At 47.4% G+C, this 12,908-nt stretch overlaps 1 protein-coding gene across 20 annotated transcripts in view, besides 2 other annotated features; it reads left to right on the forward strand.

Annotated features, from left to right (window-relative positions):
• The window catches only part of RABGEF1 (RAB guanine nucleotide exchange factor 1), a 156,898-nt gene that overhangs the window by 16,358 nt on the left and 127,632 nt on the right, over window positions 1-12,908 (forward strand). For 12 of the 20 annotated variants that reach the window (NR_104676.2, NM_001367746.1, NM_001367732.1 and 9 more), the window contains exon 1: window positions 11,242-11,334. The exons of the other annotated variants lie outside the window; for them this stretch is intronic. The gene's annotated coding sequence lies outside the window, so the exon portion shown is untranslated. Of the gene's footprint in view, window positions 1-11,241; window positions 11,335-12,908 lie in introns of those variants that run through there. 20 annotated transcript variants of the gene reach the window in all.
• Window positions 11,028-11,767: an enhancer, noted in NCBI's record as "H3K27ac-H3K4me1 hESC enhancer chr7:66146939-66147678 (GRCh37/hg19 assembly coordinates)". NCBI's record gives its function as "activates a minimal SCP1, AML or CMV promoter by ChIP-STARR-seq in primed H9 embryonic stem cells {active_cell/tissue: H9 hESC(primed)}" and the evidence as "EXISTENCE:reporter gene assay evidence [ECO:0000049][PMID:30033119]".
• Window positions 11,036-11,285: a silencer, noted in NCBI's record as "silent region_18213". NCBI's record gives its function as "represses an Ori minimal core promoter by ATAC-STARR-seq in GM12878 lymphoblastoid cells {active_cell/tissue: GM12878}" and the evidence as "EXISTENCE:reporter gene assay evidence [ECO:0000049][PMID:35858748]".

Genomic DNA, 12,908 nt, shown 5'->3' on the forward strand with positions numbered 1-12,908 from the left:
ATATGTGCTCTGATGCACTGGAGCTTCCACTGGTCTTACTTAATGTGTGTGATACTCTCATTATTTATGTATCTATATATATCTATATCTATATTTATATATATATATAGAGAGAGAGATAGAGAGATGGGATCTTGCTGTGTTGCCCAGACTGTCTCAAGCTCCTGGCCTTGGGCAATCTTCCCACCTTGGCCTCCCAAAATGCTGGTATTACAGTATTTAATTTTTAGGTGTTTTTTGTTTTTTCGGGGGCTGCATTTTTGGAGATAGGGTCTTGCTATGTTGCCCCGGGTGGAATGTAGTGGCTGTTCACCAGTGCCATCATAGCTCACTGCATCCTTAAACTCCTGGCTCAAGCAGTCTTCTCCCCTCAGCCTCCTGAATAGCTGGGACTACAGGCATGTGCCACCACACCTGGCTATCCTACGCAATATGAGACCAGGAAGTTGTCATCTGTGTGGAGAGGAATAAGTGTAATCCCACATAGGGGGGTAGTCTAAAACAACATGGAGAGTACCTTTAGACCTGGATTTCGGGGCTCAGCCTTGCCATGGGAAGGAGGCATGGTGTGTAGCAGTGGTTACCAGACTTCTTTCAGTAGTTTAAAGCAATAAAAAAAAGATGAAAGACTGATATAGTGTTGTTCTCCTTTAATTTTGCCAAGGAAAGTCTTTTTTAAAAAACCTCTGTTGTTCCTGTCACTTAACACTAAAACGTGGAAAAACACAATGTCAACAACAGGAAAATAGCAGCCAGGCGTGGTGGCACTTATCTATAGTCACAGCTACTTGTGAGGCTGAGGTGGGAGGATTGGTTGAGCCCAGGAGTTGGAGTCTGCAGTGAGCCATGATCCTACCACTGTGCTCCAGCCAGGGCAACAGAGTGAGACTGTCTTTTTTTTTTTTTTTTTTGAGTCAGCATCTTGCTGCACTGCCCAAGCTGAGTGCAGTGGCATGAGCACAACTCACTACAGCCTTGACCTCCGAGGTGCAAGCAATCCTCCTGCCTCAGCTTCCCAAGTAGCTGGGAATAGAGGTGCACACCACCACGCCTGGCTAATTTTTGATTTTTTGTAGGAATGAGGTTTCAGTATGTTGGCCAGGATGTTCTTGAACTCCTGGACTCAAGTGATCCTCCTGCCTCAGACTCCCAAAGTGCTGGGATTATAGGCTGTGTCCGGCTGAGACTCTGTCTGTTAAAAAATAAAAAAAAACCTGGCCGGGCACGGTGGCTCACGCCTGTAATCCCAGCACTTTGGGAGGCCGAGGCAGGCGGATCACAAGGTCAAGAGATTGAGACCATCCTGGCTAACGTGGTGAAACCCCATCTCTACTAAAAATACAAAAAAAAAAAAAAAATTAGCCGGGCGCGGTGGCGGGCACCTGTAGTCCCAGCTACTCAGGAGGCTGAGGCAGGAGAATGGTGTGAACCTGGGAGGCGGAGCTTGCAGTGAGCCGAGATCGTGCCACTGCACTCCAGCCTGGGAGACAGAGCGAGACTCCATCTCAAACAAACAAACAAAAAAACAAAACAAAACCTTTCCCAAGAAAGGACTTCTGACAGTCTTACATGTAAACAATTTAAAGACTTTATGTCTCAGGTTCCATGTTTGTGAAATGAGAAATAATTATAGCTGCTGCACAGGCTTGTCAAAGAGGATTATATAAAGAGCCTTGGTGTGACCCCTAGCCATGTCCTTTTCAGAGTACGTGGCTGGAACTCTTAGCTCCTTCAGTCTGACATTGGAGATGACTAGAGACCTTGAACCAAGTGCCCAGGAGGCAGAAACTCTCCAACCACTACATCTCTGTGCTGGCCTCCAAGAAGGATTGCCCACATTGTGGGAAAGATCATTTTTATTCTCAGAAAGGAGCCCCTGGTCAGATAACTTGCTTGGAAGCATCTGGGTTTCCCCAGTGGGCTATCAGCTGCCTCCAATGCTGAGAAAACAAAGTGTCACATCGCTCTGCAGAACTATAAAAAGATGTTTGTTTGCGGGCTGTTTGGGGAAGGAAAGTGCCGGCCCCAGCTAGCAGCTCCCACAGCACCCTTAGCTGGGCCTTGCCCCAGGGTTTTGTTTTTCAGAGCTCACCAAGGTGTGCTGAAGATCTAGAAGGGATTTTGGGGAGGGGCTCTGGGTTTGACTTGAGGTGGATGTGCCCATGCTCAGGTGGCCACAGCTAGAGAGTGACAGCGCCAGGCAAGGGCATGGCAGAAAGCAGGAGATGGCGACATTCTTACTTTGGCTGATGAGCTCCTGTGACCTATGATTCATCAGCAGCAGATGAAGTTGTTGAATGACTCAGATAAAATAGGTGGTTCAGGGCATTTCGTAGGGTGCATTTCTTACTATACAGCTTATGTATCCCTAGCATCCACCGTGAAGGCTGCTTGGGCCTCAATCTGGGGTCGTTCCCCATTGTCATTAGCTTGCTGCACTCTGGTCTAAATGCTTCTGCTGAAGCTGGACCATCGTGGATGTGGGTGTAGAGTCAGTCATGGCTGGATCTGAGCCTCTGGCAGCGGTGGCTACTTGAGCAAGCATGTTCCTGAACCTGTCTGGGCCCCACTTGAGCCTCATTTATGACATAGAGATAAGATAGCACACACCCCCAATGTCATTGAGAGGATTACATGGGATAACCCATGAATAGTGGCTGGCATGGAGTAATACTTAGCGAGTGTTAGCTGGTGTTGTATTAGGTCATAGACTAAGCTGTTATTGAGGTAGCAGCATTATCTTGGGGTTTACTCACTGTCTTCCGCACGTACGGGTGATGTATCTGATTACTCTGAGCACTAAATAATCTAAAAAGCTGGTGGCTTGCACCTATGGTCCCAGTTATTCGGGAGGCTGAGGCAAGAGGACACTTGAGCCCAGGAGTTAGAGGCTGCAGTGAGCTATGATTGCACCACTGCCCTCCAGCCTGGGTGACAGAACGAGATCCTATCTCTTAAAAAAGAAGAAAAAAAATCTGAAAAGTGAATTAGAAGGACTGAATTTTTATTTTAAGAAAATGCAATATGTGATTTTATTCAGCCCTGGAACGAGTTCGTTCAGATATTATGGTTAGGCATTTTACCTGCTCTGCATAGCTACAGAATAATACTAGTGGCAAGGATGGGGAACACCTAGAACTCTTCTGCATTGCTGTTGGGAATGTAAAATGCTGCAACCACTTTGTTAACCACGCGCTTACCCTATGACTGAACTATTCTACGCCTAGTACTTACTCGGAAGAAATTTGTGCTTGTGTCCACTAAAGGCTTTTTTTTTTTTTTTGTGATGGAGTCTCACACTGTCACCCAGACTGGAGTGTAGTGGTATGATCTCAGCTCACTGCAACTTCCACTTCCCAGGTTGAAGCAGTTCCCCTGCCTCAGCCTCCTGAGTAGATGGGATTACAGGCACCCACCACCACACCTGGCTGATTTTTTTTTTAAGTAGAGATGGAGTTTCACCGTTTTGGCTAGGCTGGTCTTGAACTCCTGAGCTCAGGTGATCCACCCACTTCGGCCTCCGAAAGAGCTGGGATCACAGGTGTGAGCCACTGCGCCCGTCCTAAAGGTCTTACATAGGAATGTTCATCCCAGCTTTACTCATAATAGCCCAAAACTGGAAACAACCCGAATGTCCATCAACAAGACAACAGGTATTCATGCAAGGGTATACTTACATAATAAATAATAATAAATAATAAAAACAAACTACTGGTACACACAATATGGTGGATAAATTTCAAAAACATGTTGAAGGAAAGAAGCCAAGTACAAAAGAGAACATACTATATAATTCTATTTATATAAATTTCAAGAAAAGGCAAAACTCATCTTTACTGATCTAGGAGAAGTTAGAGTGGTTGCTTCCGTAGGGATTAACTGGGAAGTGACATGAGGAACCTTAAGGAATGGAAAAGTTTCATCTTGATCTAGGTGGTGGTTGGACGGGAATATTCATACTTATAAAAATTGAACTGTACAGTTAATATGTGTATATTTGTTGACTATTTCACCTCAATTATAAAACTATATATATATATATATAAAGGGCTAGATGTCATATTTTTCCATTACACTTACATATACCTAATATTATACCTAATAATAGTAATTATAGTTGCCTACTGATAACAACTAATAACACTTATTGAAGCCCTACTCTGTGCCAGCGATTTTCTAATCACTTAATTCCCTAATACATTATGAGGTTTTATTATTTTCTCCAATTTTACAGACAGGGAAATTGAGGCATGGAGAGGTTAAGTTTATTTACCCAGTGTAACACAGCTGGCAGTCTGGTTTCGAGACCAGCCTGGCCAAGATGGTGAAACTCTGTCTCTGCTAAAAATACAAAAATTAGCCAGGCGTGGTGGCAGGAGCCTGTCATCCCAGCTATTCGGGGGGCCGAGGCAGGAGAATCGCTTGAACCTGGGAGGCGGAGGTTGCAGTGAGCCAAGATCACACCATCGCACTCCAGCCTGGGGGACAGGAGTGAGACTTTGTCTCAAAAAAAAGAAACAAACAAAAAAAACCCCAAAAAACTCCCCACAGCTAATATACTCAGTGGTGAAAGACTGGAAGCTTTTCCATTAAAATCATGAACAAGACAAGGATACCAATTTGTGCCAATTTTATTCAACATAGCATTGGAAGTTCTAGTCAGGACAATTCAGCAAGACAAATTTAAAAGATTCAGATCGGAAAGGAAGAAATAAAATTTTTCATGAACGATGTGGTCTTATGTGTAGAAAACCGTAAGGATCCAGCATAGACGAAAACTGTTAGAACTAATAAATTCAGCAATGTAATAGGATGCAAAATCAACACACACAAAAATTAGTTGCATTTTTGCACACAAACAGTGAACATCCCAAAAGGGAAATTAAGAACATTTCATGTATGACAGCATGAAAAAGTATAAAATACTTTAGGGTAAATTTAACCAAGGAGGTCAAAGACTTCTACACTGAAAACTGCAAACCATTGCTGAAAGTAATCAAAGAAGACAAATAAATGGAAAGACATGTCATGTAACTTGGGTTGTTAATTAGTTAAGTTTTAAGAGCTCTCGATATATCCTGGATAACAATCCCTTATCAAATATGTGATTTTCAGGCCAGGCATGGTGGCTCAAGCCTCTAATCCCAGCACTTTGGGAGGCCGTGGCAGACAGATCATTGAGGTCACGAGTTTGAGACCAGCCTGGCCAACATGGCAAAACCTCATCTCCACTAAAAATACAAAAATTAGCCAGGAGTGGTGGCCCGTGAATTGCTTGAACCCAGGAGGCAGAGGTTGCAGTGAGCCAAGATTGTGCCACATCACTCCAGCCTGGGTGACAGAGCGAGACTTCGTTTCAAAAAATATATATATATATACTTGATTTGCAAATAGAATCATCTGTCGGTATACACAGAGGATTTGTTCCAGGATGCCCACATATACCAAAATCCTCACATACTCAAGCATATTCAAGTCCTGCAGTCAGCCCTGCAGAACCCCTGCTTATAAAAAGTTAGCCCTCCACATATGTGGGTTTCACATTGGGCAAATAATGTATTTTCAATCCGTATTTGGTTAAATAAATCCATGTATGAGTGGACCTACGCAGTTCGGACCTGTGTTGTTCAAGGGTGAACTGTATTCTCTCTCCCCCATTCTGGGGATTGCCTTTTTATTCTGAGACAGGGTCTCATTCTGTCGCCCAGGCTGGAGTGCAGTGGTGTAATCCTAGCTCACTGCAACCTGGAACTGCTGGGCTCAAGCGATTCTGCCACCTCAGCCTCCCAAGTAGCTGGCAAGCTCCACCATGCCCAGCTAAGTTTTTAAAAAATTGTTTGCATGGAGGGGGTTCTCACTATGTTGCCCAGGCTGGTTTCAAACTCCTGGCTTCAAGCCTAGCTCCCACCTCCGCCTGTCAAAGTGCTGGGATTAGCGGCATAAGCCATCACACCTGGTCCGTGAATAGTGTCCCTTGATGCACAAAAGTTAAAAAACTACTGATGAAGTCCAACTTGTCTATTTTCTTTTATTGCCTGTCCGTTTGGTTTCATAGCCAAGAAATCATTGCCAAATCCAAAGTCATGAAGCTTTACCTCCAGGTTTTCTTCTAAGAGTTTTGTATTTTTCATGCTTACATTTAGGTTTTTGATTTATTTTTGAATTAAGTTTTGTAGATGGTGATAGGTAAGGATCTAACTTCATTCTTTTACATTAAATTTTATGTCATGTACATTTTACCACAATACAAATCTAATTTAAAAATTTAATACTCTTGTGATAAAAAGAAATCTAACAAACTAGGAATAGCATGTAACTTCCTCAACATGATAAAGGCCACGCCTGAAAAATCTACAGTTAACATCATACTCAATGGTGAAAAACTAGAAGCTTTTCCACTAAGGCCGGAAACAAAGGTAGGAGGATAACTTGAGGCCATAAGTTTGAGACCAGCTTAGACAACAAAGTGAGACCCCTATCTCTATAAAAAATAAGAAATCAGAAACAAGACAAGTACCAACCTGATGGTACTTTTCTCTGTTTATAGAAATCTACAGGCTGGGCATGGTGGCTCAAGCCTGTAATCCCAGCACTTTGGGAGGCCGAGGCGGGCGGATCACAAGGTCAGGAGATCGAGACCATCCTGGCTAACATGGTGAAACCCTGTCTCTACTAAAAATACAAAAAATTAGCTGGGCTTGGTGGCGGGTGCCTGTAGTCCCAGCTACTCGGGAGGCTGAGGCAGGAGAATGGCGTGAACCCGGGAGGGGGAGAATGCAGTGAGCTGAGATCACGCCACTGCACTCCAGCCTGGGTGACAAAGCAAGACTCCGTCTCAAAAAAAAAAAAAAAAAAAGAAATCTACAAAGGAATGCCGGGTTTGGTGGCTCAAGCACTTTGGGAGGCTGAAGCTGGTGGATTGTTTGAGTCCAGGAGTTTGAGACCAGCCTGGCAACATGGCAAAACCTTGTCTCTATGAAAAATACAAAAATTAGCCAGGCGTGGTGGCGTGCACCTGTAGTCCCAGCTACTTGGGGGGCTGAGGCAAGACATCTCTTGAACCTGGGAGGTTGAAGCTGTAGTGAGCCAAGATTGTGACACTGCACTCCAGTCTGGGTGACAAAGACCCTGTCTCGAAAAAAAAAAGAAACCTACAAAGGAAAATCCATGCTACTAAGCAAGTTCATAAAATTTAGTCTCAACATCTAATAGCCCACAGAAAAAGGTATGGCCCTTGCATTCTCCATCTACCCATGAGATGCCTTCTTCCTCAAGGCAATTCTCTTTCCCCTGCCCCTCCCATCCTGCTGGTATTTTTAGACCAAAATATTTGGGGAGAAGAGAAAAGGTAATCCAGTAGGCCGGGCGCGGTGGCTCACGCCTGTAATTCCAGCACTTTGGGAGGCCGAGGTGGGCGGATCACGAGGTCAGGAGATTGAGACCATCCTGGCTAACACGGTGAAACCCTGTTTCTACTAAAAATACAAAAAATTAGCCGGGCGTGGTGGCAGGCGCCTGTAGTCCCAGCTACTCTGGAGGCTGAGGCAGGAGAATGGCGAGAACCCAGGAAGCGGAGCTTGCAGTGAGCCGAGATGGCGCCACTGCACTCTAGCCTGGGTGACAGAGTGAGAGTCCGTCTCAAAAAAAAAAAAAAAAAAAAGAAAAGGTAATCCAGTGGACCCAGGGAGGGAGAGGGATGAAGAGACAAGACAATGTGGCAATGTGGAAACTCAGACATTTTATTTATTTTATTTTTATTTGCTGTAGAGATGAGGTCTCACCATGTTGCCCGGGCTGGTTTCAAACTCCTGGCCCCAGGCAGTCCTCCCACAGGGAAACTCAGACATTGTAATAACTGCTGGCAAGCATGGACAAAGGAAATTCATAAACACACCTAGATTAACAGTCATTTTAATACTGAGGTAGTCAGTGTTTTCACAGAATTACAGGTAAAGATGGTAACCACGTTTTCATTCCTGAGTTAAACAAGAAAGTACTCACGTGGCATGATAAAGAATCCCTCCTCTAAACCAATAACCAACATCAAAATTAGCAGTGGAATCATAAAGTCATGTGTGATAGATGTTTCCATTAATGTCCCAGTAAGTCAGACTTTCCAGCATCCGTGCTCTTGCTAGTTCCCTCCCATATTGACGTTGGTTTGGCTTTTGCTTTGCCTTTTGACCTCTTCTACATCCCCTCATTCACTCTGCTACTGCTAAACAGGTTAGCGGTGTCAGAAGGGTCTTCCCTCTATCTGTTCGGTGCCTGGAACATTCTTGCCCAGATATTTGCATAGGAGCACAGCTGGCTCCCTCATCTTTTATTCAGGTCACCTCACGAGGCCACTCCTGTCTATTTTAAAGCTGCAAGCTTCTTGGTTGCAGTTTTTTTTTCTTTTTGAGACAGGGTCTTGCTCTGTCACCCAGGCTGGAGTGCAGTGGCATGATCACGGCTCACTGCAGCCTCAACCCCCCAGGCTCATGTGATCCTACCACTTTGGCCTCCAGAGTAGCTGGGACTACAGGTATAGGCCACCACGCCTGGCTAATGTTTGTATTTTTAGTAGAGGTGGGGTTTCACCACCAGAGGTGGGGTTGCCCAGGCTGGTCTCAAACTCCTGACCTCAGGTGATCAGCCCGCCTCGGCCTCCCAAAGTGCTGGGATTACAGGTGTGAGCCACCACACCCAGCCAGTCCTCTTTGTCTTAACCTTCACAAGGAAACTTTGAAATGATACCCACTTTTTGTTACTGCTTTCCTCAGGCCTTTTCTGTCTTTAAAACCAACCTCTTCTGCTCAGCTTATTGAACGCTCATTGTGGGGCCAGGGGCCTAAACTCATGCCTGTAATCCCAGCACTTTGGGAGGCCAGGGTTGGCAGATTGCTTGAGTCCAGGACTTCGAGACCAGCCAGGGCGACATGGCAAAACCTTGTCTCTACAAAAAAAACTAGCTCTACCCCAAAAACTAGCTGAGTGTGGTGGCACACACCTACCATCCCAGCTACTGGGGAGGCTGAGGCAAAAGGATCACTTTAGCCAGGGAGTTGGAGGCAGGAGTGTGCTGAGATTGCAATACTGTGCTCCAGCCTGGGCAACAGTGAGACCATATCTCAAAAAAAGAGGAAACACTCATTCTGTTTCACAGAATGGTTTAGAGAATGGTGTGTTGCCTGATTCTATGATCACAAGTCAGTTAAGATCTTTAAAGTAAATATTATTGTCTTTTGGTAATAGCAATTATCACCATGTAATGTACTACTTTAAATTTATTGTTTATTGGCTCCTCCACCTCCTCAGCACAGGTACTTTGTGTTTGTTTTCTCATTTTTTTTTTTTGAGACAGAGTTTCGCTCTTGTTGCCCAAGCTGGAGTGCAATGTCGTGATCTCGGCTCACTGCAACCTGTTTCCTGGGTTCAAGTGATTCTCCTGCCTCAACCTCCCAAGTAGCTGGGATTACAGGCATGTGCCACCACGCCCAGCTAATTTTGTATTTTTAGTAGAGACAGGGTTTCTCTCTGTTGGTTCTGCTGGTCTCTAACTACTGACCTCAGGTGATCCGCCCGCCTCTGCCTCCCAAAGTGCTGGGATTACAGGCGTGAGCCACCGCACCCAGCCATACTTTTGTTTTATACTCTGTTGTACCCTCAGCCTAGCACACATTAGGCACCTAGGAAGAATTTGAGAAACGAATCAATTAATCTCCACTTTACCAATAATGAGCAAGAACAGAAATTAGGGCCGGGCGCGGTGGCTCACGCCTGTAATCCCAGCATTTTGGGAGACCAAGGCAGGTGGATGATTTGAGGTCAGGAGTACTAGACTAGACTGGCCAATATGATGAAACCCTGTCTCTAGTAAAAATACAAAAATTAGCCGGGTGCGGAGGCTCACACCTGTAATCCTAGCACTTTGGAAGGCCAAGGCGGGCGGATCACTTGAGGTCACGATTCCAAACCAGCCTGGCCAACATGGTGAAACCCCGTCTCGACTAAAAATACGAAAAAATTAGCTGGGCATGGTGGCGGGCGCCTATAATTCCGGCTACTCGAGAGGCTGAGGTGGGAGAATCGCTTGAACCTAGGAGGCGGAGTTTGCAGTGAGCCGAGATCACACCACTGCACTCCACTCTGGGTGACAGAGCGCGACTGTCTCAAAAAAGAAAAAAAGAAGACTGAAAAATTGGGCAACCTGTCCAAGAACACCACAGCGACAATTAGCAAAGCTGGGATTCCAACCCAGGTCTATCTAAGAGCCACAGCATTGTATTTTCTTTTCTTTCTTTCTGTGACTGCACCTTTCACCATAGATGGCATCCAGGACTCAGAGCAATCAGCATGTAGCTACTGTTTTTAATATTCCTTACATGGGAATCACATAAAGAAAGTAAACAGTATCCAATTTGTGACTCAACCATTCATACTTTGTGACACTGGTTAATTATTTCACTTCTGGGTCTCAGTTACGCTTTTTTTTTTTTTTTTTCTTTTTGAGACAGGGTCTCGCTCTGCTCTGTCACCCGGGCTGGAGTTCAGTGGAGGGATCTCTGCACCCTCAACTTCCTGGGCTATCAAGCGATCCTCCCACCTCAGCCTCCCCAGTAGTTGGGACCACAGGTGCCCGCCATCATGCCCGGCTGATTTGTAAAATTTCTTTTGTAGAGATGGGGGCTCTCCCTCTGTGGCCCAGGGTGGTCTCGAACTCCTGGCCTCAAGCGATCCTCCTGCCTGGGCCTCCTAAAGATTCAGCTGCTTTTGGATCAAACGATTGGCTTAAGACCCTTTAACTCGAACACCTGTCACATCCTAGGATCCGCGAAGGACTGAAACAGAGTTTCTGAAGCGTCCCTCGGCGCAGTGGCTCCGCTCCACCTCCCATTCGCGCTTCCACCGTGGCCTCGGCTCCAGGAGTCGCCGCGGTGCCGGCGTCGCCCTCCCGCTGCTGCGCATCGGGAGCCGGAAGTAGGGACTGAGCCACAGACTAGGAAACGTTGGTTTCTCCGGGGCTCCCCAGCGCCCCAGCTTTAGCGCGGAGGCTACCCTCTTCTATTTGCTCTTGGGCGTCAGAGCGGCACCCTACTCTGTGTAAGCCTTTGGATCCCGCTCGCACTTCCTCCCGTCATCAGCCAAAGGCCCCGGAAGTGATGTTTGCGCGCCGTGCGTTACGGGCGTGCGCTGGCGGTGCCGGGGGGGCGGGGCAAGCAGGGGGTGTGTGTGAGGCTGGAGCGGACTGGGGAACCCAGACCTGCCGAGCGACGTGGGCGAGCGGTGACCTGGACCACGGCGCAGACGCGGGCGAGCTGCGGCTCGGACGCCAGCGGACACGCGGGCGAGGTACGGAGTGGACGGACTGGGGCTAAGAGCTGCGCGGCGGGGCATCTTGGGCCGGGGGTGGCGGGGCTGTTGGTCCGTGACGTCCGCGCGGCCGGGACAGTTGCGCGTCGGTGCCTCCCGCTGTCCTTCTTCCCATATTCTGGCCCCGTCAGCGCCGCCTGCCCCGTTTCAGGCCGCCCTCGGTTCCCTTAATCCTCACAGTGCGCGGCCTCTCCGTCCAACGTGCTCGTTGCCGGCATCTCCAGCGCCCGGCCGTGCCCCGACGGCCTGACCTGGATCACTTCCTGGCCGCCTCCCTGTCCGGCGGCTCCCCTCGGTCCGGCTCCCACTTCCCCGTCCAGGATGCTGGCTCCGAAGCAACATCTGTGGTCGCGCGGGACCCATCCCAGGACCTCCCCGGAACGCGCCGGGATGGGACGCTCGGACCCAGACCACAGCCCCCGGCCGCGGCAGGGCGCCGGGATTTGATCCCGCGTCGCCCTGGGGGGACAGAAGCGTCCCGGAGTTGGGAGGGGATTTGAAGCCTATGGTCCTGACTTCCACCCCGTGGCTGAGGGCGAGGCTGCGGGGCCGGGGTTAGGAGCAGAAGTCCCTATTTCCGAACCGTCTGGGAGGAGAGCCGGGGGATGCCCATCACGGCAGTTTAGGGAGAGAGAGGGAAGGACTCTGCCGCTTTGGAGGCTAGGTCATAGGCAGCTGGCGGTGTCTCAGCGCGAGTGACCAATCCTTGTGGTTGGGAAATGTGTCGTGGGCGTCCGTGGGCTCGTTTTGCCTTTGAGATTAAATAGGAAATTTTCCCAGGACGAGTTTACCGGAGCACCTTGGGAGTTGGTTTTTGGCTTGGAGAGCTACTTTCCCCTCTCTAAATCTAAAACTGCTTTGTTTTTCCTTATTATTTTTTTCGAGATGGGATCTCACAATGTTACCCAGGCAGGTGTCAAACTCCTGGCCTTAAGCGATCCTCCCGCCTCGGCCTCCCAGAGTGCTGGGATTAGAGACGTGAGCCATTGCGCGGCTTTAACTGCTGTTAGTCTGTTCCTTAAAATTGTTGTACCAGGAAACTTGCCAGAGATGCAAGAAGATGTGATTATATTGTTAACATTTAATGATAAATAACATTTTGCTTTTAAGAGTTACTGATTCATATCCTCAAGATTAAGAAATGTTCAGGATATGAATATTTAATGACCTTTCCAATCAGTCAGTTTCTGCTCTCTAGAAGTTAGCCAGTTGAGGAGAAGGGACAGTCAAGATACTTTCAGAACAGTGTGGTAAGGAGTGTGAGCTAAGATGGAGCACCGAGGAAGGAGCCGGGCATTTAGGCCATGCTGTTGGGTGTGGAGCCTGGAAGGGATCGGGGAATACTTTCTGCATGTGTCTTGAAGAATGAGTAACATTCAGACTAACAGGGTGGAGTGAGGGAGAGGGGGGAACCAAAGGAGGGGAGGCCAGTAACTACAAGGAGGTGCTTATTTATTTATTTATTTATTTATTTATTGAGAGAGAGGGTCTCACTTTGTCACCCAGGCTGGAGTACAGTGACACGATCACGAGTCACTGAAGTCTCAACTGCC

Source organism: Homo sapiens, chromosome 7 (assembly GCF_000001405.40).
Source record: "Homo sapiens chromosome 7, GRCh38.p14 Primary Assembly".
Classification (NCBI taxonomy): Eukaryota; Metazoa; Chordata; class Mammalia; order Primates; family Hominidae; genus Homo; species Homo sapiens.